The following is a 26,214-nucleotide window of genomic DNA, read 5'->3' on the forward strand; positions in this document are numbered from 1 at the left end:
AAATGTTTTTAAAATTTAAGGATGTAATTACAAAAATAAGCTTATAAGAAATAAGAAAAAATAGATTTGTTTTAAAAATCCTTTTATATGAAAAAGAAAGAAAATAAAATAGAACTTCTACAGATGAAGAATATAATTATTGAAATCTAAAATTCAATATACAGAACAGATAGCAGCTGAAGTCAGAATTAGAGAGCTGAAGCTATGGCCAAAGAATTTATCCAGACAGCAGCATAAACGGATAGCAGATTGAAAATATGAAAGCTTAAGAGACATGGAGAATAAGGTCAGGAGAGGCAATATTAAGAGCAAATGGGCCGGGCGCAATGGCTGATGCCTGTAATCCTAGCACTCTGGGAGGTCAAGGCAGGTGGATCACTCGAGGTCAGGAGTTCGAGAGCAGCTTGGCCAACATGGCTAAACCCTGTCTCTACTAAAAGTACAAAAATTAGCCAGGCATGGTGGTGCATGTCTGTAATCCCAGCTATTCAGGAGACTGAGGTGGGAGACTTGCTTGAACCCAGGGAGCAGAGGTTGCAGTGAGCTGAGATCACACCACTGCACTCCAGCCTGGCAACAGAAACTCTGTCTCAAAAAAAAAAAAAAAAAAGCAAATGGCTGTAAATTTCCCGAACCAAAAAAAAAAAACAAAACCACGAATCTATAGATCCAAGAAGAACAATTTATCCCAAGCAGAATACATAAAAAGAAAGCCACCTTAAAATACATCACAATGGAACAGCAGACTCTAAAGACAAACAGATCTTGAAGCATCCAGAAAGAAAGGACCACAAAGAAACAACAAAGCAAAAAAGAAGCCAGAGATGGCAGAATGTTTTGAAAGTACTAAGATATTATAACTGCTAATTTAGAATTGTACATCCAGGAAAACTGTTTTTCAAAAATGAAATCAAGCCAGGCACAGTGGCATGTGCATGTAATTCCAGCTACTCAGGAGGCTGGGGCGGGAGGTTCCCTTGAGCCCAGGCAATACAGCGAAAACTTGTCCCTTAAAAAAAAAAAAAAAATGAATGAATGAATGAAAGCAAACCACTTTCACAGTTTTTAAAAATGTGGACTACCAAGGGAACTGCTCTAAAAAAAAAAGAGAGAAAAAGCTTTACTTCAAGTAGGTGAAAAGATTTCAGAAGAAAGTCTTAGAACAGGCTGTGCATGGTGGCTCACGCCTGTAATCCCAGCACTTTGGGAGGCTGAGGTGGGCGGATCATGAGGTCAGGAGATCAAGACCATCCTGGTCAACATGGTGAAACCCTGTCTCTACTAAAATAAAAAATAAAAAAAATTAGCTGGGCATGGTGTGTACCTGTAGTCCCAGCTACTCAGGAGGCTGAGGCATGAGAATGGCTTGAACCCAGGAGGCTGAGGTTGCAGTGAGCCAAGATCGCCCCACTGCACTCCAGCCTAGTGACAGAGTGAGACTCCATCTCAAAAAAAAAAAAAAAAAAAAGGTCTTAGAATAAAGTCTTGTCCTAGAAAGACAAGAAGAAATAGTGTACAGAGAAAGTGGTAAACAGGTAAGCAAATTGAAACATACTGGGTGTTAGCCTTATAAATATAATACTAATAGTGTTTACATCATGTGGCTAGTTCCTCCACCCACGGGAAATAATGAACAACAGTGTATAAATCAGAACGGGAAATACCAAAGTGAAAGCATTTTAAAGTCCTTTTAACATCATCGGTGCCGTTCTTTAAACAGAGTTAATGCATTAAAAATGCATAATAACTTCTGCACCTGCATGCAGCTGGTGCAATAGCAATGCCTATTTCTCTGTCCATCTGGAAGGAACTTGCAGAGGATGATGCAATACCATGACTATCATAGCTTCCAGTGCCTTGATGAAACCTCAAGGTTTTTGGCCTTTTGGCCAAGCATCTGCCATTTCATACTGTTGCAGCATTTGTTGTGTCCTAGGAGTTGCAACTATCTATAAGTTTGTTGTGGCTAAACCATGAAATAAGGCATATATAGATTTCTGCAGAAATTATAATTCTACAAATGATTTTGAAGAGATGAAAAAGGTTGGTATCTTTTGGAATGCAAAGTGATATTGGAATGTAAAGAATTTCTGGGGATTGTGTTCCATGGAAGTTTGTCACTGGCCTACGTTCCTGAACTGTGAAACATGAATATGTGGGCAAAGGAATAGTTTGTTTTGATAGATTAACAAATATGAAAAAAATGCATGATAAAATCAAGAGCTATAATTAAAACACTAAAATTGGAATATGTGCTTCCTAAGTAGTAGAGAAACAGGAAAAATAAGAACATGCAATCAATCAATAACCCCATTTAAAGGCCAAATATAAGGAATGGAGACAACACAGGGGCTGGGCACAGTGGCTCACATCTGTAATCCCAGCATTTTGGGAGGCCAAGTTGGGTGGATCACTTGAGGTCAGGAGTTTGAGACCAGCCTGGACAACATGGTGAAACCACATCTCCACTAAAAATACAAAAATTAAAAATTAAAAAGAACACAGAAAAGTGAACCAAATAAAAATCAAAAATTAAATGTAAGAAATTAGTCCAAATACTCAACATAGAAAATGCTAATGGACTAGACTTGCCAATGCAAAGAGAGAAACAGATCAAATTGTTTAAATATTTAGCTATATGTGTTTATAAGAGTTACACCTCAAGCATAAAGATATGGAATGGTTGAAAGTAAAAAAAAATATGAGGAAAATATATGTGAGAAAATGCTAATCAAGGGAAATCTAGTGTAGCTATATATATTTTTATTTATTTACTTTTAAATAAATAAACTATGAGGTAGGTACTAGAAGGTCAAATATGAAAACAACGTGATCCATGCCTGAAAAGATGTAGAGTTTAGTAAGGATAACAAACAAAGAAATGGATCATTTATTCCACTTTAGAACCAGACAAAAGAGGAAATTCACATTTTAGGAAGAATGTATAGTCCTGAAATATAACCAGTCTATTTTTATTTATTTTTCAAGACAGGGTAACCCTGTTGCCCAGGCTGGAGTGCAGTGGTGCAATCATAGCTCACTGCAGCCTCAAACACCTAGGCTCAAGCCCTCCTTCCACCTCAGCCTGTGAGTAGCTGGGTCTACAGGTACACACCACTACACGTGACTATGATGTAGCTATACTAATTTCAGCAAAATAGATTTTAAGACAAAAGCATCGGCCGGGCACAATGGCTCATGCCTGTAATCCCAGCATTTTGGGAGGCCAAGGCGGGCGGATCACGAGGTCAGGAGATCGAGACTATCCTGGCTAACACGGTGAAACCCCATCTCTACTAAAAATACAAAAAATTAGCTGGGCGTGGTGGCACGTGCCCGTAATCCTAGCTACTCGGGAGGCTGAGGCAGGAGAATTGCTTGAACCCGAGAGGCAGACGTTGCAGTGAGCCGAGATCGTACCGCTGCACTCCAGCCTGGGTGACGGAGTGAGACTCCCTCAAAAAAAAAAAAGACAAAAGCATCATTAGAGTTGAAGACAGTCAACACACAATGGTAAAGGTCCAATTCACTAGAAAATTTTAACAGTTCTAAGCATGTAATAACCTAATTAGATTCAAAATAACTCAGTATGTGGTAAAACAAAAACTGACAAAGTTACAGAGAGAAACTAACAACTCCATCATTACATTGAGAAGATACTAAACTTCCTCTCTCAATTGTTGCTAGGTCAAACAAATAAAAAAAGATCAATTATATATAGGTTAAAGATCAGAATTAGCAAGCTTTACATAACAGACTTATAGAGTTCTGTGTCCTAAATTTAAATGATAAACATTCTTCTAAGGTACACCTGGACCACTTGATAACATACTTGGCTATAAAGTAAGACAATTAATTTTTTAAAATAGGTATTGTATAGATATATTCTCTGGAAAAAAACAAAATTAAATTGGAAGTTATTAATAAAAAGATAAAGAAAGATGAATTATAGCTTTTGTTTATGAATAGGAAAACTGAATATCACAAAAATATCAGTTCAGCTCAGTACGTCTTTAGAATCAATGCAACCTAATCCATCAGGTTTCACAAACTTATTCTAAAATGTACAGGAAAGAGCAAAGGGCCAAGAATAACCAAGACTTTTTTTTTTTTTTTTTTTTTGAGACGGAGTCTTGCTCTGTCGCCCAGCCTGGAGTGCAGTGGCGCGATCTCGGCTCACTGCAAGCTCTGCCTCCCAGGTTCACGCCATTCCCCTGCCTCAGTCTCCCAAGTAGCTGGGACTACAGGCGCCCGCCACCACGCCCGGCTAATTTTTTGTATTTTTAGTGGAGACCGGGTTTCACCGTGTTAGCCAGGATGGTCTGATTTCCTGACCTCGTGATCCACCCTCCTCAGCCTCCCAGAGTGCTGGGATTACAGGCATGAGCCACCGCCTGGCCTAACCAAGACACTTTTGAAGAAAAAGATGGTAGACAAGAGGGAGAGGCTGCCCTGGATATATTCTAAAACTAAGGTAATTAAGACAACATAATATTGCACCTGCTCTACCACGTTTCAAAACTAATTCTAAAACTAGAGATGTGGGCGGATCACGAGGTCAGGAGATGGAGACCCTCCTGGCTAACACAGTGAAACCCCATCTCTACTAAAAATACAAAAAAAAAAAAAAACTTAGCCAGGCGTGGTGGTGGGCGCCTGTAGTCCCAGGTACTCGGGAGGCTGAGGCAGGAGAATGGCGCGAATCTGAGAGGCGGAGCTTGCAGTGAGCTGAGATCGAGCCACTGCACTCCAGCCTGGGTGACAGAGCAAGACTCTGTCTCAAAAAAAAAAAAAAAATTAAAATTAAACTAGAGATGTAGCCATTAATATGGCACAGCAATGGTTCAGAGTGGACAAAATAGAAACAAGAGCCAGAAACACTACCAGACACTATGAAACTGTGATACACTGTCATGCATTGCCTAATGATGGTGATACATTCTGAGATATTCATTATTAGGTAATTTTGTTGTTGTGTGAACATCATAGAGTACTTTCGCAGACCTAGATGGTATAGCCTACCACACACCTAGACTTTATGGCATAGCCTATTGCTCCCACGCTACAAACCTGTACAGCATGTTACAGGAAAGAGCAAAGGGCCAAGAATAACCAAGACTTTTTTTTTTTTTGAGACAGAGTCTTGCTCTGTCGTCCAGGCTGGAGTGCAGTGGCTCGATCTCGGCTCACTGCAAGCTCCGCCTCCTGGGTTCACGCCATTCTCCTGCCTCGGCCTCCCGAGTAGCTGGGACTAGAGGTGCCCACCACCACGCCCGGCTAATTTTTTTGTATTTTTAGTAGAGACGGGGTTTTACCATGTTAGCCAGGATGGCCTCAATCTCCTGGCCTCATGATCCGCCCACCTCGGCCTCCCAAAGTGCTGGGATTACAGGCATGAGCCACCACGCCCAGTCCATCATTGACCTAAACATCACTATGTGGTGAACAATTGTATTTTTCTTTTAATGGCACGGTAGATGAATAGGGAAAGGAAGGACAATTCAAAAAATAGAATTTAAAAATCCCACATAGATTGAAGGATAAAAACAATACTTTAAAAAACATCAAAAATACGTAGATAAAATGCCTGTCTCTGGTATTCATATAGGAAGAATTTCTTAAACAAGACCCATAAAAGTCCTAGCCATAAGATAAAGGATTGGTAAATTTAACTACATTAAAATTAAGATCTGTTCTTCAAAATACACCTTAAGGAAAGTGAAAGGAAAAGCTGAAAAGTTAGAGCATATATTTGTAACATTTATGACTGATAAAGGATTGGTATAAAAATATGTACTGAAGTCTTTAAAAAAAAAAGTCCCTCTCAAAAATAAATAATAAATAGAAAACAACCTATAGAACCTAGTAGAAAACAACCTAATAGTAAAGCATATGGAGAGATTTTTTTTAACAGGATTCAAATACATATGGCCACTAAACATATGAAGTGATTTCAACCTCATTAGTAATCAGGAAAATGCAAATTAAGCACACAAATAGATACCATTAACTATCCATCCATTTTTTACAGTTGAGGGAAAAACTAAAACATGACAGAGTTTATTCATCAATGGGAACTTTTATATACTGTTAGAAGGCATGTAAATTGGAACAGCCTCTTTGGAAAACAAGTCTGCATTATCTTGTAAGTATGAATATTCACATATCTTACAACCCAGTTGTCTTAGTCTGTTCAGACTGACACATTGAAATGAGACACAAAATATCACTGACTGGGTGATTTAAACAACAGAAGTTTATTTTCCCACAGTTCTGGAAGGTGGAAGTCTGGCAGCAGTTGACAGCATGGTCAGGTTCAGTGAGGGCTCTGTTCCTGCCTTGCACATGGCCACCTTCTCATCGTGTCCTCACATGAGACACACAGAAAGACTCTTCTTATAAGGCCACAGGCTTATTGGATTAGGGCCCCACTCTTAACAACCTCATTTAACCTTAATTACCTCCTAAAGACCCTATCTCAGATACAGTCATATTGGGGGTTAGAACTCAACACAGAATTTTGAGGAGACAAAATTCAGCCCATACCACTAACTCCCAGGTGCCCAAGAATACATATATAAAAGGATGTTTAAAGCACCAATTTTCATAATATCAACAAATTTAAGCAAGCCACATGTCCACCAACAATAAAATGGAAAATAAATTGTGGTATATTTATACAAAATACTATTATACATCAGTGAAAATGAAGAATGAGCTGCAGTTCTATGCAACAACATGAATACACATCAGTAAACTAAGGTTGAAAAGAAAAAAGAAAGTTCAAAAAATTACTACTTTCAGTATGATACACTTTTTATTGAGCTCAAAAACTAGCAAAATTCAACAATGTATTGTTTAGTCATGCATATATATTTGAAATAAAACTATCATTTTTATGCAAATGATGGATACAAAATTCAGGTGAGTAGTTATTTCTAGGGGTGGGGCAGTAAGGCAGTGAAATATTGATGGATATAACTCATAGTGTCTCAAAAGCCAATTGTTAAATTTTTTAGGACTTTCAAGAGCCCCTTGTCAAACCACTGGTAGCCTGAAATCAGCCATGGTGGGAGTATTTACACCATGGAAACTGGCAAATACTGAAACCAAGAGGCTGGTTGTTAAACATTTACCAGTATACCACTGAATGTAAGCTGTTGCTAGTGTTCCAGTTCTTGGTTTGAGTAGTAAGTTCTGTTCATTATTTTTTAAATGAACAAGGTTCTTAGTTTAGGTAGTAATGTCTGCTCATTATATTATTTAAAAAGAATGAATGAATGTAAACAAAGAGGTTCATGACTGGACCCAAAAAGTCAGCATATCACGAACCAAGGTGTATGATTGTTACAACTGTGTGCACCTACAGTAGGAAAAAAACAAAAAAAGCATTAAGTTCCCTCCATCTGGGCATATCAAGTGTCAAAAGAATCTCTACTAATAAATGAGGTCAATATATACCTGGAAGGTACTATCCCACTCTCTGAGAGCAACACACAGGCTTCCAGGAATGAGAGGATGGGCCCATCCAGTCCCATGGAGGTGAGTCTCCCTAGTTCCCTCACCAAGCAAGCCTCTCAATGATCAGGCTCTAGGCCAGAAAAACTAGATGGTATAACCCATGCGACAGTCACAGAAGGAGCTGGGGCCACACTATCAGCACCCACAATGTGGTCATGGTTCTTGAGCCAAACTGGGTCCAGCCTCTAAAGTAGCTCAGGCAAGAGGGGAAGCTAACACCAGTAACTCACGTTGTTTTCCACCCCACCTTGCCATAACGTCAAGGAGGCTGGCCAGGCCCTCTGCTGTTAGAATCGAAGGAACCTGAAGGGGAAACAGTTAGGGATAGACTAAAGTTAGCAAGCCAGAGAAAGAAGCAGCAGTGACTAGCAAAACAAGGGGAAGGGAGGAAAGGCTAGAAGTGGGTGTAGAAACGAACATATGGAGGTCAGAAATCAGAGAGCTGAGAGAAGGGAATCTCATGCCAAGTCAGCCAGAATGAGAGTGGTCTCGGGGACCCTGGCTCTTGGCAGCCCTGGAGACGGACAGATGCTACATGTGACAGGTAGCCTGGTCAGGTTGGCTCCCTCAAAAGGGGCATCGGACAGGGTGGCCAACTAGTTGGTGGGGCCAGGTTCCCTTGATAACATATACCACGCAGAAAGCAGGTCTGAAGCTTGAGGTCTGTGACACTGTTGCTTTCAAGTTGTGTGGCAGCCGTTCCTTACCACCCTGGTCTGAAAGAGCCTCCAGGCAGAGGGGCCTTAATTGTGCTAAATTCCACGTAGAAAAGGAGTGAGACTCATAAAGCCTAAGTAAGGTGCTCGGCTTCCTGAAAACAGCTGACATTGCCAGAGAAAAACTGTGGGAGGCAGCCCACAAGCCTGCCCATGCCAGGCCATCTGCAGAAGGATGGGGCGGCAGCATCAGAGGGTGGGCGGCAGCATCACAGTGCATGCGGCAGCTCTGCCCCATGAGGGAAGCCTTAGTAAGTTCCAAGTCACACTTGCTGCAGAGTTATGGTAGTGTGGGCTCCCCTTGGTGGTCCCCCCACAGTTTAAGCTGTAGCTGAGCTACCCTCATGCCAGCTGATCACCGAGGAGGTGGGATGGATACATCAAACTGCAGGTCTCAACTTTAATATGACCCTGGCATATGTGGCCCTGGTCTTTTCAGGCAGGACTGTCAAGCATGTTGCCAGGACAGCCAGGAACCCACATGTGAAGGTTAATCCTATGGGTCAACTTGACTGGGCCACAGGGTGCCCAGACATTTGGTCAAACATTATTCTGGGATTGTGAGGGTATTTGGAGATGAGATTAACATTTGAATGAGTAAACTGGGTAAAGTGATTGCCTTCCCTAAGAGTGGCCTCATCCAATCAGTTGAGAACCTGAATAGAACAAAAAGGCTGACCCTCCTGTGAATAACAGGGACCTCTTCTTGCCTAACTGCTTCGAACTGGGACATAGGCCTTTTCCAGCCTTTTGACTTGAATGGAAACATCAGCTCTTCTTGGGGTCTCAAGCCTGTCAGCTTTCAGTCTGGAACTTACACCACTGGCTCTCCTGGGTCTCCAGATTGTTCACTGCAGATCTTGAGACTTCTTCCATAATTACAAAAGCCAATTCCTTATAATAAATCTCTTTCTATATATATCCTGTTGGTTCTGTTTTTCTGTAGAACCCTAATACACTCGTACAATACATTGCCCATCTACATGGGTACAGTCTATTTTCTCTCTTCCCATACCTCTGCCCTTTCCCTGATGAACCCAGGCCCCAGATATCTCTCAGACAGCCACTGAAAAGCCAGCATTTGGGATATACACACTCTCATCCTGGCCAGTCAGCCTCCCAGAAAGACCACACCAACCATCTGTACTCTCCTGCTCCTGGGCTATGTTGCTAGAGAAAAACCACAAGAGTTGGCCAGATTCTCGAGCTCTCCAGGCTCAGGGGGTGCTCCCATAATTGATCAATGCCTTCAATAGCTCACTCTCAGACCCTCCTCCAAACACTGTCCATTCCCCCGAGGCTTATCCCTGCCCTTGCATTGCCATTCACAGCAGATCACCTTGCCTCAACTTACCTGAGAAAAATGTCATTTGCAGGAGGTCCTGCAACTTCCCTCTCTCCCCAATTCATCTCTGCTTCTTCATCCATCCCCTTCTCTTTTCTCCCAGAGAGAAATGTCTTTAAGACATCAATATAAAGGCAAAGTTATTGAAGGCAAAGTGTCCACACCAACCCAGATTAACACATAGATAGGAGGTCTCAAAGGTGTGCATGGTCAGTTGGGGGCAGCAACACTTCTTCAACTGGGTTCTGTCCTCTGGCCTTTTTCCCATGAGATGATCTCAATGGACTGACCTTGACTCAGGCAGACCCCTACTAAGCACCCAAAAGGGAGGCCAGGGCCCTGGGCAGTCTCTCCAGCATGCCTCTCAGCCTGTGCAAGACCATCTAGGCTTCTCAGTGTGGGTCCACCTTTTGCCCGTTTCATTAGATATTTTTTCACACTTGTATATTTAATATTTCTCTCTCGTCTATATTCTTATCCTCAGTTTAAAATATACTTGAAACACTGCCATCCTAAATTGGCTGCCTCTCAATCCTGCTGTTTCCCTGGCTATTTCCTTAAATGTCTCCTTTCCTTCCCAGAAAACTTCCTGAAAGAAAAGCTGGCACTTGCTGCTTTCAGTTCAGACTGGCCATTCTCTCACACCAGATTTCTAGTTTCTGTGCCCACCCCACCCTCAGTCCCACTGACGTTGCTCTACTAGGGTTGCTAAAGACTCCAGGTCATCAAATCCAAGAGTTACTTTTCAATCTTCTTCTGTTTGGCTGTTCACCTTTGTTTTGGTGAAAGAAAGAATGCATGTCTACACAGAGCATTTACAGGGGAGCAGCGTCATGTGAATTCTAATAATGGAAGATTTCTCCAAGGAGAAATCAACTCTTGGGCACAGAATCAGGGATAAGAAGTTCAACCTCACCTATCCACTTGCCAGCTGGACACTAGGACTTGACCTAATTAAGGGAGTTGACAGTTTTTTTGGTGTTTTGTTTTGTCTTTACAAGCAGATGTTATCACCCCATTATACCAAGAAGGAAATTGAGGCTCAGAAAAAACTTGTAGATTGCCCCAAGTTACACAGTGGGTTATGGTCAGAGCTCCCTCCATCACATAGTGATAATAGCTATGACTTAATAACTACTGTATATCAGGCATGTGCTAAGAGCTTTACAAGGCAATACCTCATATAATCCTCTCCTAAAGTACAGACTAGTTTATACACCTTATTACAACTCCACTTGAATGTGTAATGGACATCTCAAAGGTGACACATTCAGAAATGAAATCAGGATCTTTTCCCCAAAACCTGCTCTACCTACAGCTTTTGCTATCTCAATTGATGGTGACTTCATCCTACTAATCGCTCAGTACAAAAAAAAAAAAAAAAAATTGCAGTCCTCCTTGACTCCTCTCTTTCACACCTCATATACAATTTCTCAGGAAACCCTATTGAAACTACCTTCAAAATATATCCATAATCTTCCCACTTCTCAGAACTTCTACTGCTACCAGCCTGGTCCCAGCCACCATCATCTCTCACTTAGATTACCTAGTGGCCTCCCAGCAGGTCTCCCTGCTTTTCCCTCTCTCGCCTCCCTCTCCTCACCTCCCCTCACCCTCCAGTCTCTTCTCAAAGCAGCAGGAGAAATCCAGCTAAGTTCTCCTTCTCGCCCATTGCAGCCTCGAGCTTCTGGGCTCAAACGATCCTTCCGCCTCGGTCTCCCGAAGTGCTGAGATTACAGGCGTGAGCCACCGCGCCTGGCCTTAAAATCCTTTTTAAAGGCACTTTGACATCCATTATCTCATTTAAGTCTAAAACACGAATTTCGACCTCCGCGCTGCTTTCTGGTTCCACCTGGCGGCAGCTGCACAAAGTGTTTCTCTTCGAACGCCGTCCCAAGTTTTACCCGGAACTACTTAGCCCAGGGTTTCCTGAGTGCTCCTCGGGCCAAAAGCAGAGCGCACAAATTCCAGAAGAAATTACCAACGGCGGGACTATTTCAGTGCTCCGAGAAGTATCACCAGTAACCAATCAGCAAAAAGCTCTAGCTCACGTGGTGTATATTCAGCCTATCAAGCTCCTGATATTCATGAATGCTGTCATTTCCGCTTCCGCCTCCTTCTTTCTCGACAAGATGGCCACACCGGCGGTACCAGTAAGTGCTCCTCCGGCCACGCCAACCCCAGTCCCGGCGGCGGCCCCAGCCTCAGTTCCAGCGCCAACGCCAGCACCGGCTGCGGCTCCGGTTCCCGCTGCGGCTCCAGCCTCATCCTCAGACCCTGCGGCAGCAGCGGCTGCAACTGCGGCTCCTGGCCAGACCCCGGCCTCAGCGCAAGCTCCAGCGCAGACCCCAGCGCCCGCTCTGCCTGGTCCTGCTCTTCCAGGGCCCTTCCCCGGCGGCCGCGTGGTCAGGCTGCACCCAGTCATTTTGGCCTCCATTGTGGACAGCTACGAGAGACGCAACGAGGGTGCTGCCCGAGTTATCGGGACCCTGTTGGGTGAGTGGTCAGAGAAAGTTAACATTCTTTTCTTCCTCCCACTTCTCATTTATCTCACTCCCCTAACTCATTAATTCTTTAATTCCTGGTGTCCTACCGTCCTTTCCTCCCATCCCCAATGACCTCTTAATCTATATCTGCATCCTACCTTTTGCTGTGACTTATCTTCTCAAGCACTTGCATCTCTCCTCTCTCTCCTGCCGGATTGCTGTCACTTTAAGCGACATAAAATACACAAGGAGTAGTTGTGTCATTTACTGAATATTTTATGCCAGTGGTTTACATTTATGCCAGTGGTTTACATTTTACATAAACAGCAGTTTATGGCAAGTATGATGGGCTGCATCTACCAAAAATGAGTTCACACGCCGAGTGGGAAGTCAGGAACCCTTGACTCCCTATACCAGTGACCACATATTTCTCCCTTATCCACTGACTAAATGTCATCGTTTTCCAGGTATTGACAAAGTTTTCTAACCAGTTGTCAAAGGAGTGGGGACGTTTGTAAAAAAACATTCCTCCCAACAAGTAAACCGGTTTGGTTGGAACCCGCTTGGGATTTTATAGTGTTCTGCTGTCCTAAACGTCTGAGCCTGATCTGTGTCCCTCAGTGTCCCCTAATATTAGTACCTAATGTGAGAAACCCTGTTCCCCCATTTTGCATTTGGACGCAAACAGTTGTATTATCTGTTTATATTTCTGCCCTTAACCTTCAGGTCGAAAAATGACCCATTCTCTGCCTGTGTTCCAAATTTGGGGAATAGATATTTTATGTTAAAGTAGTTTGTAAAATGGAAAAGCACTAAAGAGGGATTGTTGATAATAAATTCCTTTCTGGAGACTATGCTGGTCCCATGAAATTCGTTTCCATTCCATCTTAGTGCCAGATTTTAAATAGCTTTGTGAATCCACTTTATTTACAAGCATTCTTTCTCTTTCATACTCTTGAACATCTACTAGTTCTTACACCATAGAAGACAGTTGGTATATTGCAAAGCAGACAAGATTTGTAAGCAGACCTCACAAAACATTTGCCATGTGACTTGGGGCAGATTACCTAAAATCTGTTCTGTCAGGAGCTACTTTAGACTTAGTCTTTGTGAGAGCTAAATTAAAAACTTCTGACTATGCTGGCACACATTAGGTACAGCTGTTAGTTGCCATTCACATCAGGCCTGGACCACCCCAATGCATACAGACACACATTTTCTCTCCTTTATCTATCTTTGACGGTATAGCATTTTACAGAAACTTAAATTCATATCTTCTGAACATTGCTTGTCTTTTCTCAGACCAAGCTTTTGCGTTCTCTTTGCCACAAGTGCTTTTCCTGCTGTCCTTCATTTGTTTAAGCTCTACCTACCTTCCACGTTCCCAGCAACAGCATTAAGTGCCGGTCCTCCATCCCATACCCGGACCCTCACTCCATTCTTAACCTTCCACAGCATGATGGTGTTCTGTAACTGTGCCCTGCTCTGAGCTTCTGTAATAAATTATTTTTGCATCACTGACTTGACACTCAGCAAATACTTACTCTTTTGGCTGCACTTTCTAATTTTCCAAGCTCGCTAAAGCTATTTAAAGAAACTAATTCATTACCCATGATTTATGCTTTAGCGCCCCAAATATTCCAGTGATCCAGTCAGACCAGGTATAATCTAATCTACATCCTCAGATCCTCTTCCAGACTGGAATCATGGTACAGTGCTATAGGTGTTATAGAGGCAATACTTACAGAAGAATAAAGAATAGATTCTGCTTGCTATGAACTTATTTCCTTAGATATACACAAAACATTTCATTTGTCTAAATGAAGTCATTGGTGCTTTTTTTGTACCATAAAACTGTTAAGGTATTTAGAATTCAAAGTGTAATAAAGTGAGCTCTCCTGTAACCTTAAACTCAAGATAGAAGTGTACTCTTAAATGCAAATAATTAGAATGTAATATGATAAATGTTCCAATAGAAGGGTGTCATGGTGGCATGGAAATGCAGAAGACTTAACTATTTCAGAAGGTTGGGGAAAAGTTCACAAAAAAGATGACGTTTGAGCTGGGCATTAAAGCAACTACAAGAAGTATAAAAAAGCCTGGTAAATCCACTGTCTGAAACATTCAGTATTACAGGAATGTAGGTGACAGGAGGTAGAGCAGGAAATGAAGCTAGCAGAGGGCAGAGCCCTAAGAAGTATTAAATAATTACAAATGTAAAGTGCTGTGAAGGGAATTACCTGGATCCCTGAGAAGACAAAATGAAAGTCTAACCTCATTTGAAGCTCTTTGGGGAAGCTCCTGAGCATTTCAGCTAACACTGAATAGGAATTAAAAATCACTCTGGAATGAGTGAGTTGAGAGATAGGAAATAAAGTTGACAGGACATGGTGTGATCAGAAGTGAGGGATTAGAAGAAAATATCAGGGATGACTTCTACATCTTTGGTTAAGTGTGAAAGAAGAAAGGGAAGGTAGGGGTTGACTAAAGGTCTGGAGTGCAAAAGAGATGTGGGCAAGTATGTCAGGTTAGGAATTATGTCATTGGAATATAGAAGGTAATTGAACCCATAAAATTGGATGAGATCACCTAAAGCAGGGGTTGGCAAACTTTCTATAAAGGTCCAGACGGTAAATATTTTAGGCTTTGTGTGCAGTCTCTATCACAACTACTTAATTCTGCCTTTGTAGCAAGAAAGCAGCCATAAAAAAATTGGCGTGTAAACTTTATTCACAAAAAACATTTCTAGATCAGGGCCTGGCCTAGAAAAGGAACATTGAATAAAAAGACAAGAGAACAGAGACAAAACCCTAAAAACCTAAAAAGTCAGGAAGAAGTAGCCAACAAGATTAGAAAGGTAGGAAGAAAACTAGAAGGAAAGTTTTAAGATGGGAAGTAAGTGGTCAAGTCTGTTCAACGCTGATGAGAGGTCAAATAAGATAAAGGATATATGTGCATTTGGTTTAGGGACATAGTTTCAGTGAAGGGAGCAGAAACCATAGTGAGTTGGAATTAGATAAACACTGGTAGATATAGACAACACTGTGGTTTCTGGTGGAGAGGGAAACTTTTAAATCCTGGGGTAGGAGGTTCCAATAGATTAGAAGAGAATGGAAAACTCAACGTAGTGGTCTTAGGTCAAGAAACAAATGTAGTGGGAATAAATAAATAAATAAATAAATAAATAAATAAATAAAAGAAATACAGCCTGGGCACCATGGCTCACACTTGTAATCCCAGCACTTTGGGAGGCTGAGGCAGGCAGATCACTTGAGGTCAGTAGTTCAAGACCAGCCTGGCCAACATGGTGAAACCCCGTCTCTAGTAAAAATACAAAAATTAGCTGGGCGTGGTGATGCGCACCTGTAGTCTCAGCTACTCGGGAAGCTGAGGCAGGAGAATCACTTGAACCCTGGAGGCAGAGGTTGCAGTGAGCCGAGATTGCACCACTGCACTCTAGCCTGGGCGACAGCAAGATTTCGTCTCAGAAAAAAAAAAAAGAAAAAAAGAAATATGGAAGTAAAGGTATCAGAACTAGAACAAAAGTTTGTGGTAAAAGACTGACTTCTAAGGTTCGCAGATAGATTTCTGGATGATGATAAGGTTAAGACTGACCATGGGACCAGATGGCTAAAGGGAGGTACAGATGAAGCTCCTGACGTCTCAGTGTCTGAAACTTGGCCACTATATTAGCAGTCTATGTAACCATTAAAATATTCCAGGTAGCTCTGCAGATTAAATTACAGGGAGAAAGTGTAGAGGCTGAAAAAAAAGGCCGTAGAGTGAAGGTCTGGAATAGGCTAGTAGTGGAGAGTAACAGGCAAAAGGAGACCTTGTAAAGGAAGAATAAACCCTATTTGGTGATGATTAGAGGGAGAAGTTGGCGATCACACCACAGTTTCAGTTCCCTGGAGAATTCTGGTCCCATCGATGCACCGGACTAAACTTGGAGCTAATGAGTTCAGTTAGGTGTTCATTGACATTGAAGAGATCATCAAAAGCATTTCAAAAGTAGTCAGAGGTTGTTGGGAGCCCTAGGATTATATAACACATGGACGATTCTCTCTTTCACAGGAACTGTCGACAAACACTCAGTGGAGGTCACCAATTGCTTTTCAGTGCCGCACAATGAGTCAGAAGATGAAGTGAGTGGGAATCCAAGCTGTCCCTCTGCAGTTTTTAGCTGTTCATTTGCTCGGCTCCCCTCACGGTCCCTCCCACACTCATAACTAGAGCTCCTGTAGCCAAGGAGCTTCTTCCCATTTGTACGTACTTCCTGGGCCTCTTCTGTTTATTGGGGGTGGCCTCTTGTCCTTTTTAACCAATTTTTCTTTGGACTTCTGGCTTCTTAGCTTGCTTTCCTGCCTTCCCTCTTAGGTGGCTGTTGACATGGAATTTGCTAAGAATATGTATGAACTGCATAAAAAAGTTTCTCCAAATGAGCTCATCCTGGGCTGGTAAGTTGGGGAGGTGGGGGCTGGGGTTAATGGAAGGTCTCTTCGTGATTGCCGGTGTCTTTTGCTACTGGACTGGATCTTATACTCTTCCTTTTGGAGGCAAGAGTATTGCAAGTGTATTACTGACTGTGAGCAGTGGCTCAATGCCTGTAATCCCAGCTGGGAGGCTGAGGCAGGAGGATCACTTGAGCCCAGTAGTTCAAGATCAGCCTGAACAAAATAGTGAGACCCTGTCTCTACAAAAACATTTTTTAAAAACTTAGCCAGGCATGATGACACACACCTATAGTCCTAGCTATTCAGGAGGCTGAGGCTAGAGGATCACTTGAGGCCAGGAATTTGAAGTTGCAGTGAGCTATGATCATGCCTTGCCACTGCATTCCAGCCTGAGTGACAGAGTGCGACCCTGTCTCTAAAAAACAAAAGGAAAGTGTGTTACCTGTAGGAACTGTGAATTCAGTGGGTTTTGCTGGTGGTTCTGATCCTGTGGGGCCAGGATATTTCGAATTACCTTGTAAGTGACTTGGAATTTTTCATCAGCACTAAGTCAGCCTTTGATTTTATTTGACATAGTTTTCGGTGTGTGTATTGCTCTTGGCAGTTGGTGTCACTAGGTGTCCTACCGTAGAAGTGTCCGGTACCCTGAAGACACCCATGCCACTGTTGTGTTTGATATTGACGCCACATATAGACAGGAGTCCACCACTGTGTTCCATTTCACAGGTACGCTACGGGCCATGACATCACAGAGCACTCTGTGCTGATCCACGAGTACTACAGCCGAGAGGCCCCCAACCCCATCCACCTCACTGTGGACACAAGTCTCCAGAACGGCCGCATGAGCATCAAAGCCTACGTCAGGTGACCACAGTCTTGGGCTACAAGGGCATAAAACCATGCCCAGATGCCATCCCTCCCCCACCCCAAGCAAGGTTAATTCCTTCCATGTGTAACTTGCTGTGTCCTTAGGAAGCCTGTTCCTCTCTCTCAACAGTTATTCTAAAGGTTTCACTCTGAAACAAAATCTGTTCCTGTAATTTCTACCGCTGATCCTAGTTGTACTCCAGTTTCTACTCATTGCCCTTTTAAGTATTTGAGCAAGCTGTCAAGTCATCTTTTGTAGGACCTAACTATTCCATAGTTCCTACAGCCAATCATCACATGGTATTCTTGTCATGATCCTTCACCACATTCATTACTTTTCTGAATTACCCATTAGTTTGTCATTATCTCTAGAACTCAGCACAGCGCTCAGGGTAATACAGATTATAAGGATGACTGTCCTTATTTTGAACACATTTATTAACCCAGGATTGAGTGCAGTTTTAATGACAATGACATTACAGTGAACACGTTGAGCTTGCAGGTGGTTAAAATGCCAGTTATGGGGGATGTTGGGAAAGGCCCTGGTGGCATGCTGAGGAAGCAGCTGTGGTAGTTGGAAAGACCATGGTCAAAGGGAAGGCAGCTGTTAGTGCATCTGTCAGGCTGTTGATTTTGTGCTGGTTCTGTGTCTGACACTGACATAGCCAGTTAACTCTTACACAGTACACAGTAAGACAAAGATGGTGGATGCCAAGTCTTTATGAGCCAGTTGGCATACCACTAAGCACTAGCCATTGCCTGACTTCTTAACCTTCCCAGGTATTTCAGACTCCTCAAGATCCAGTATATATATATATATGGATCCAGTATATACAATATATATATAAGATCCAACTATATATATGTATATATATGTAGATAGAGAAAGATATATATAGTTGACATAGTAAAGTATAGATCCAGGTATATAATTGACATAGTAAAAAGAATACCTTTAGTGAGATGACTTATAGCACCCAATGTAATTTGGTGGGCAGGAGTTGGTTTCCTTTTTCAATGCTGATGAAGGGCGTAGTCCCCGAAAAGATTTGTCTCTGTCTCCTTTCCATGGTAGGTAGCTGTCTAGACAGCCAGCTCTACGGGGTAATTGAGTCCTGTCCTCTCGTCACTGACACTGCACCGTGTGTGAAGTAATCCTCTAAAGGGACCAGGCCAAATGCAAAGGCCCCCCTTACAGATCAAGGGTTTGGTATGTGGGAAAAGCTAAGGGGAGAAAGTAACTTTTGCTCCCATGAGACCTCTGGGGTTCATTTGGTCCCACCCTTTCTATCAGAACCTTGAGAGCCATATTCCTGCTGTATCTGCTTTCTCAGCCCAGAATAGACATGGAAACCCTCTCCCAAGGCCATCTGTTTACTTTGGCTTCTCCTTCCGCAGCACTTTAATGGGAGTCCCTGGGAGGACCATGGGAGTGATGTTCACGCCTCTGACAGTGAAATACGCGTACTACGACACTGAACGCATCGGAGGTGAGTAACCTTTCCATACACTCGCGAGAGGCCATAGGCATTTTCAGGGAAGGGGGCTGCTAGTCTGCAACATGGACGGAGGCCTTGGGTGGTTTGAAAAGGGACTATTGATCTAAGGTTTGTGAAGACTAGAAGTCACAGTCATCTCTTGTATAAATGGGATTTAAGGAGTTATTTGAGAAACTGTTAAAGGTGGGAAATGATCAGCACCAGAGGCCACATACCATTCACATGAGATCAAAACCGGTGATGAGCATACCAGGTAAAAGGAGTTGAGCTCTATTAGGAGGAAGAAAAGCTGATAAGGGCACAGCAGGAAGTGTGACTGAGCAGACTGAGTCTAAGGGGAGTTGGGAAACAGAGTTAGTAGGACGTTAAGACCATCTCTTTCCTGGTGGGATGACTGAATTCTCTCTCTTACTGCCCACCACTGCCGCTGCCACCCTGCCAACCAACTTCCATAGTTGACCTGATCATGAAGACCTGCTTTAGCCCCAACAGAGTGATTGGACTCTCAAGTGACTTGCAGCAAGTAGGAGGGGCATCAGCTCGCATCCAGGATGCCCTGAGTACAGTGTTGCAATATGCAGAGGATGTACTGGTGAGAGGGGAAAGAAAAAACAAAGGGGGAGGACATAGTTCTCTATCCTGGGATCACTGAGGCATGTGCTGATGAAATGGTAGGGCTCAGTGGTTATAATTAACTGCCTCATCGAGTCTTTGTTTTGGTACTCAGTCTGGAAAGGTGTCAGCTGACAATACTGTGGGCCGCTTCCTGATGAGCCTGGTTAACCAAGTACCGAAAATAGTTCCCGATGACTTTGAGACCATGCTCAACAGCAACATCAATGTGAGTGCCCTTCCTGAGCCCCTTCTTGCCTGGTTTCTTCCCCCACCTCAGCACATACACTCAAATGTGAAAAGAGTTGGGTGAGGTGACCTGGAGTAGGATAGAGACAGGGCTTCACCTATAGCCCCACTGAAGTCCAGGTTGGGAGGAAGGAAGAGGTGTGTTATGCGTGGTTGGAGACTTCCTTCCTTCTCCCATGATTCCATTGTCTCATTTACTGCTGATACTACTGTGACTTACTGTCTAAATTCGTGATGGAAAGAAACACTAAAATTCAGAGGTTAATGAAAATGCAATTACTTATTTCCCCCATCTGAGTTCACAGACCCCCTATATTCCATCCATGGGTTTCAGCTAAGGCACCCCTAGTCTATAAGTGTATCAGTAGAGATAAGAAAGCCTTCTCAAGCATTTCCTTTCTGTCTTCTACCTTTTTGACTTTTATTCAGTCTCTCCTAGCTGTCATTTATCCACAGCTGTCCTCATACCCAGTGTCTACCATAGAGCTGGCCAAAGCCAGCCTTTTTGCTCCCTTTCCACCCAACCCCCCACTCATTGTGTATTCTTTGTCTTCCAGGACCTTTTGATGGTGACCTACCTGGCCAACCTCACACAGTCACAGATTGCACTCAATGAAAAACTTGTAAACCTGTGAATGGACCCCAAGCAGTACACTTGCTGGTCTAGGTATTAACCCCAGGACTCAGAAGTGAAGGAGAAATGGGTTTTTTGTGGTCTTGAGTCACACTGAGATAGTCAGTTGTGTGTGACTCTAATAAACGGAGCCTACCTTTTGTAAATTAATTTCATCTTATGTGAGTTTATTGCCGGGTGGAAGGGAGGAAAATGTTTTAGATCACACAGAAACTAGGAAGTGAATATTGTAGGTAGAGAAGTTGGTTATGTGTTTGGCATGTTACTGTTTTACCAAACTGTTCTTTTGGTTTTCAATATGGAAAGGTGTCCATTGGCAAAACAACCTTTTCTTGAGGATTCATGTGATTTCTACAGGAAATGAAAATAAGAATCCATGGAGAAAAAATAGCTAAGAAAATTGGATGCTTAATCTGAACTAAAAGAGTAGAGTGTGTAGTCACTATCTTAAAATACATTAATAGTAAGATGGAGCTCTTTGCCACTTTGGTTCGGGGAGGCAGAATTAAGATCTGTGGGTTAAAGATTAAAGAGGTTTCCCCAAAACTTCAGAAAATTCTTAGGTGCTATCTGTAACTCGAGGATAGAGCCTTGAGTTATACTGAGGTCTGCCAGTGGCTCAATTTAAGCAAAGACTAGATGGCATTTCCCAGAGGCCTTGTAGGCTAGAGTACTTGCCTGTGTAACTTCAGACATCCATTTCCTCTGGTATCCTGGAGTTCCGCCTCGCCACTGTGTGTCTTAGAAATAAGTCATTATTCAAGAACTCAGGAAATTATACGTTGGAGTGAAAAGGTGAGTGAAGGCAATGGGGAATCAAAAAGGCCTGGATCCTAGTTCTGAGGTATGTGTAGCCTTAGGAAAGATAAATTATAAGAGTCATAAGATATGGATCATAAACATACATAGTCCATTAGGGTATTATGAGGATTCCATGAATTAATAAATGTCAGGTTAATCAACACTTGTGGAGAATATCACCTGGTATGTAGTAAGCACAGATAAGTGGTAGATACTATGATGCCTAAAGGTGAATAGTTTGAAAGTAATAAGCAACATGAACCCCAGCCTGGAACTCAGTTCTGAGATATGTACCTCAGGAAATATAAGTTATGGGAGTCATAAAGTGTGGATAGTAATGATAGATAATTTCTTACAGGTAGGGAAATGTAAACAGATCTTATCGGCAAAATGATAATGACAGGCCAAATTGTTAAAGGTAGGTTAAAAGTAGACAGCATGGTGGGAAGGTTAATCAGAGTCAAAATGTTTCAGTGTTCTTACATTTTTGGGAGTAGCCAGTTAATATCAACTTAGTCTTTTTAAGTATGCATGATAAAATTCCGAGGTTAATTGCTAGAAGTATATATAATCTCTCAATGAATAGTGATGAGAGATGGTGGGATAATAGGGAAGAAACAAAATTTTAAATTTGAGAAATAAGCATAGAAAAGGTGGATAAAACAAAAGATGGCAAAACAAGTCCAAATAGATCAGTAATTACAATAAATGTATAAGTATTAAACTAGCCCAAGGAAAAATTGAATATTAAAACAAACCCCAATCATATGCTGTTTACAGGAGACACATCTAAAACAAGGACATAAAGTTGTCCTGCAGCTGTGAGTAACAATATAGGTGAATGTTAATAATAATGTTGAATGAAAAAAGCTGGTGTCAGAAGACATGTACATTATGATACTCCAGAAGTTCAAAAACAAGTGAAACTTGTTTAGACATGCGGTTGGCTGTCTGTATATGTGGGTTCCACATCTATGGACTCAACCAACTACAGGTTGAAAATATTGAGGGGGAAAATTGTGTCTGGACTAAACCTGTACAGACATTTTTCCTTGTCATTTTTCCCTAAACAATACAAAGTATTAGATGGTGTTTATACTGTATTCGGTATTATAAGTAATCTAGAGATGACTTAAAAGTATATGAGAAGGTATGCACAGGTTATATCCAAATACTTCATATTAGGGACTTGAGCATCAGAGGATTTTTATATCCAAGGAAGGTTCTGGAACCAATCCTCCACGGATACTAAACGGTGACTGTGTGTGTATATATATATGTATAGTCTGTTCTCATTATCTATAGTAGTTATGTTTTATAAAGTCACCATGAACACTGAATTAGAGAGTACTGAACCATTATTCCCAAGGGAAATACAGGGTTGGGTTCCTATGAACCTCTGGGCACAGTTTCATCAACCCATCAGTACATAAACTTGTTACATGTGTTTCTGTTTGAAGACACCTTAGTATATATGGTTGACCCATTAACACTGAACTTAGCCCACGACACTTATTCCTGAATGAAGCTTACCTCAGTTTCTCCAGGCGGCACATCACAGTCTTCTTGCACTTAGGAACACTTGGCACTGTGCGTGGGGGTCACTTTAAGCAGCAAAATCCACAAAAATGCAAAAGACATGGCACTAAATAGACTGAAAAGGATACTTGTTTATAAGAACTGAAACAAGAAGGCCTTGTTCCACCTCAGCTGGGAACATGGAGAGCAGGCAATTCAAATTTTTTCACATGCTGCATGTCCGCAAATGGCTGCAAAAGCCCAGCAAGTACTGATACTGGAGTTAGAAATAAATTTTAGCAAGAGGTAAATTCACACATACGGAGTCTGCAAAAAATGAGAATTGACTATTATGTGTGTGTATATTATATATATGATAAAAAACAAAAGAATGATAAAAATTCCCAATAATGTTTACTTTGGTGGTGAGAAGAGGATGGCAAGTAAAATAAGTCTGTATTGTTATCAGCAATTATCTAGTTTGAGGTTGGACAGTGGTTTCATCATAGGTATTGATTATATTATAAATAGCCCAACCTGAACTCATGACCATAGTGTGGTGTTATTACTTAGCGTTATTCTAGACTTATTAGCCATTGTATTTAAACAAGAGGAAATAGAGACATTGAAGATAAAGTGGAGCCAGGCACAGTGGCTCATGCCTGTAATCCCAGCACTTTGGCAGGCTGAGATGGGTTAATCAAGACCAGAAGTTCAAGACCAGCGTGGCCAACATGGCAAAACCCCGTCTCTACTAAAAAAAAACAAAAAATACAAAAATTAGCCAGGCGTGGTGGCACGCACCTGTAGTCCCAGCTACTTGGGAAGCTGAGGCAGGAGAATCTCGAACCCAGGAGGTAGGGGTTGCAGTGAGCTGAGATCGCACCACTGCACCCCAGCCTGGGTGACAGCAAGATCCTTTCTCAAGAAAAAAAGTGAAAAGGAGGAGGGTTTTTAAAAAATTAGTACTACCCAGTTGATACGGTGGAAGAAAACTTGAAAATGCTAATGAGAAACATGAGATGTAATCACTTGAAGGCATATCATGTTCTTGAATAAGAAGACTCAACATTATTTTAACAGGTGTTAATTTTCCCTGTTAAACTACATATTTGTCATAATTACAATAAAATACAAAGAGCTATTTTGGAACTGGGCAAGCTGTTTCTAAATGTATATGGAAAAATAAAAATGTCTCCAAAAAATCCCTGCAGAGGGAAACTAGCCCTTCCAGATATAAAATATATTATAGAACTGTGTAATTAAAGCAATATGGTACTGGTCCATAAAAGAACATAAAACCAAATAGTTCAGTAGACTCAAAATGCAAGCGTTGGTGAGGGTATGGAGAAAAGGGAACCCTTTTACACTTGGTGTGAATGTAAATTAGTACAGACATTGTGGAAAACAGTTTGTAGAGCTTCCTCAATAAAAACACATATGATCCAGCAATCCCACTACTGGGTATATATCCAAAGGAAATGAAATCAGTATGTTGAAGAGATACTTCCACGTTCACTGAAGCATTGTTCACAATCGCCAAGACATCAACCTAAGTGTCCATCAACAGAAGATAGATAGGGCTGAGCGCGGTGGCCCACGCCTGTAATCCCAGCACTTTGGGAGGCCAAGGCAGGTGGATCATTTGAGGTCAGAAGTTCTTGACCAGCCTGGCCAACATGATGAAACCCCGTCTCTACAAAAGATACAAAAATTAGCCAGGCATCTTGGAGGGCGCCTGTAATCCCACCTACTCGGGCTGAAGTGAGAATGGCTTGAACCCAGGAAGTGGAGATTTCAGTGAGCTGAGATTCCGCCACTGCAGTCCAGCCTGAGCGACAAGAGTGAGAAGAGTGAGACTTCATCTCAAAAAAAAAAAAGGTACATCTACACAATGGAATATTATTAACCTTAAAAGAAGGAAATAACTGATTTACAACAACATGGATGGACCTGGAGGACACTATGCTAGTGAAATAAGCCATGATCTCACTTGGATATGGAATCACAAAATTGAACTCACAAGCAGAGTGTAGAAAGGTGGTTTCATGGACTGGAGGGAGGGGATAAATGGGGAGATGTTGGTCAAGGGTACAAAGTTTCAGTTAAACAGGAGTAGTACGTTCCGGAGACCTGTTGTGCAGCAGGGTGACTAGTTAATGTATACTTGAAAATTGCTAGGAGTAGATCTCACCAGGAGAAATGAATATGTGAGGTGATGGATGTAACTAGCTTGATTGTGGTAATCAATTTCGCAATGTGTACATATATCAAAACATCACATTGTACAAAATACATACAGTTTTTGTCAATTTAAAGATATCAGAATTCTAGAATATGATAAAGTTGTGTTTTCAAGCAAGTAAAGATAGATTACTTAAGAGCGAATGAGTGGTAATTTGGAAACAATGTTGGATTCCTACTTCGTTACCTGCACCAAAATAAGTTGCTCATGGAATAAAAACTTGTCTGAAAAAAAAACCATAAATATGAGGGAAAAAACACAGCAATGTGTTTTTAATGATTTATGAGTGAGGAAGAACTTTCTAAGAACTGAGAATCCAGGAGTTATTTTAAAAGACTGACAAATTTAGCAACATTTTTAAAATCTGAGTGTCAAATTACACACATACACAAATAGTCAATACAAATATAAAACTGGGAAAATATTTGCAGTTCATATCAAAAAAAGGGCTAATATTCTTGTCCCAGAATTCCTACAGTTTTTTAAGGCCAGTAATTTGATACATTAGTGTGTAAAGGATATGACCAGACAGCTCACACACAGACACACAAATGTGAAAAGATGCTTGATCTCACTGATAAAGCATAAATTAAAACGATGTCATTTTTAAAAATCAGATTCGCAAATTTTAAAAGTTGCTAACACTGGAATGGCCAGAGTAAGAGGAAACGTGACACAGGCACAGATTGCTGGTAGACATATAAGTTGGTACAGCCCTCTCTATGTAATTTTGTGTTTGTCAAAATTACAAATATGCATGCCCTTAACCCAGGAATTCCACTCCTCATTATATATCCTACAAATAAACTGGTCTCGTTATGACACAATGTAATGAATACATAGATAAGTACTGAAATACTTGGTTATCATAGCGTAAAGATGGTAATCAACCCAAATGACTATTACCAGAATAGAAATTAAACAAAGTATGATATATCCATAAAACACAATACTATGCAGCTGTTAAGCAGAATGAGACAGTCCTCTATATATCAATATGGATAAAGAGTAAGTGAAAAAAGCCAGGAGAGAATGTTGTCTATAATATGCTGTTGTTGTGTACGGGAAAATAAATAATATAAATACCTAGAATATTTGTGAAGGTACAGCCAAGAAACTACTATCACTGATTGTCTTAAGGTACTAGATGGGGCACAGGACAGGACGAAAGATTTACTTCTTATTGTTTCTTCTGTATAACTTTTGAATTTTATGCTGTTAATGTAATTTTTCAAAAAAATATATAAAAATATAAAAACATGAAAAA

General features: G+C 41.5%; 1 protein-coding gene and 1 pseudogene across 1 annotated transcript, besides 6 other annotated features; both read left to right on the top strand.

The window, feature by feature from the left end:
- Nucleotides 1,858-2,067, top strand: COX6CP5 (cytochrome c oxidase subunit 6C pseudogene 5; annotated as a pseudogene).
- Nucleotides 11,334-11,513: an enhancer, noted in NCBI's record as "active region_4379". NCBI's record gives its function as "activates an Ori minimal core promoter by ATAC-STARR-seq in GM12878 lymphoblastoid cells {active_cell/tissue: GM12878}" and the evidence as "EXISTENCE:reporter gene assay evidence [ECO:0000049][PMID:35858748]".
- Nucleotides 11,334-11,936: a biological region, named in NCBI's record as "H3K27ac hESC enhancer GRCh37_chr11:8008582-8009121".
- Nucleotides 11,397-11,936: an enhancer, noted in NCBI's record as "H3K27ac hESC enhancer chr11:8008582-8009121 (GRCh37/hg19 assembly coordinates)". NCBI's record gives its function as "activates a minimal SCP1, AML or CMV promoter by ChIP-STARR-seq in naive H9 embryonic stem cells {active_cell/tissue: H9 hESC(naive)}" and the evidence as "EXISTENCE:reporter gene assay evidence [ECO:0000049][PMID:30033119]".
- Nucleotides 11,699-26,214, top strand: EIF3F (eukaryotic translation initiation factor 3 subunit F). Its single transcript, NM_003754.3, has 8 exons — nucleotides 11,699-12,078; nucleotides 16,143-16,213; nucleotides 16,446-16,525; nucleotides 17,249-17,386; nucleotides 18,788-18,879; nucleotides 19,344-19,480; nucleotides 19,616-19,729; nucleotides 20,307-26,214. Exons 1-8 carry the CDS (start codon nucleotides 11,715-11,717, stop codon nucleotides 20,382-20,384), a joined length of 1,074 nt encoding a protein of 357 aa, NP_003745.1. The 5' UTR covers nucleotides 11,699-11,714; the 3' UTR covers nucleotides 20,385-26,214.
- Nucleotides 11,937-12,475: an enhancer, noted in NCBI's record as "H3K27ac hESC enhancer chr11:8009122-8009660 (GRCh37/hg19 assembly coordinates)". NCBI's record gives its function as "activates a minimal SCP1, AML or CMV promoter by ChIP-STARR-seq in naive H9 embryonic stem cells {active_cell/tissue: H9 hESC(naive)}" and the evidence as "EXISTENCE:reporter gene assay evidence [ECO:0000049][PMID:30033119]".
- Nucleotides 11,944-11,993: an enhancer, noted in NCBI's record as "active region_4380". NCBI's record gives its function as "activates an Ori minimal core promoter by ATAC-STARR-seq in GM12878 lymphoblastoid cells {active_cell/tissue: GM12878}" and the evidence as "EXISTENCE:reporter gene assay evidence [ECO:0000049][PMID:35858748]".
- Nucleotides 19,046-20,245: an enhancer, noted in NCBI's record as "CDK7 strongly-dependent group 2 enhancer chr11:8016231-8017430 (GRCh37/hg19 assembly coordinates)". NCBI's record gives its function as "activates an origin of replication core promoter dependent on BRD2, BRD4, P300/CBP, MED14 and CDK7 cofactors, with strong dependence on CDK7, by STARR-seq in HCT116 cells {active_cell/tissue: HCT116}" and the evidence as "EXISTENCE:reporter gene assay evidence [ECO:0000049][PMID:35650434]".

Source organism: Homo sapiens, chromosome 11 (assembly GCF_000001405.40).
Source record: "Homo sapiens chromosome 11, GRCh38.p14 Primary Assembly".
Classification (NCBI taxonomy): Eukaryota; Metazoa; Chordata; class Mammalia; order Primates; family Hominidae; genus Homo; species Homo sapiens.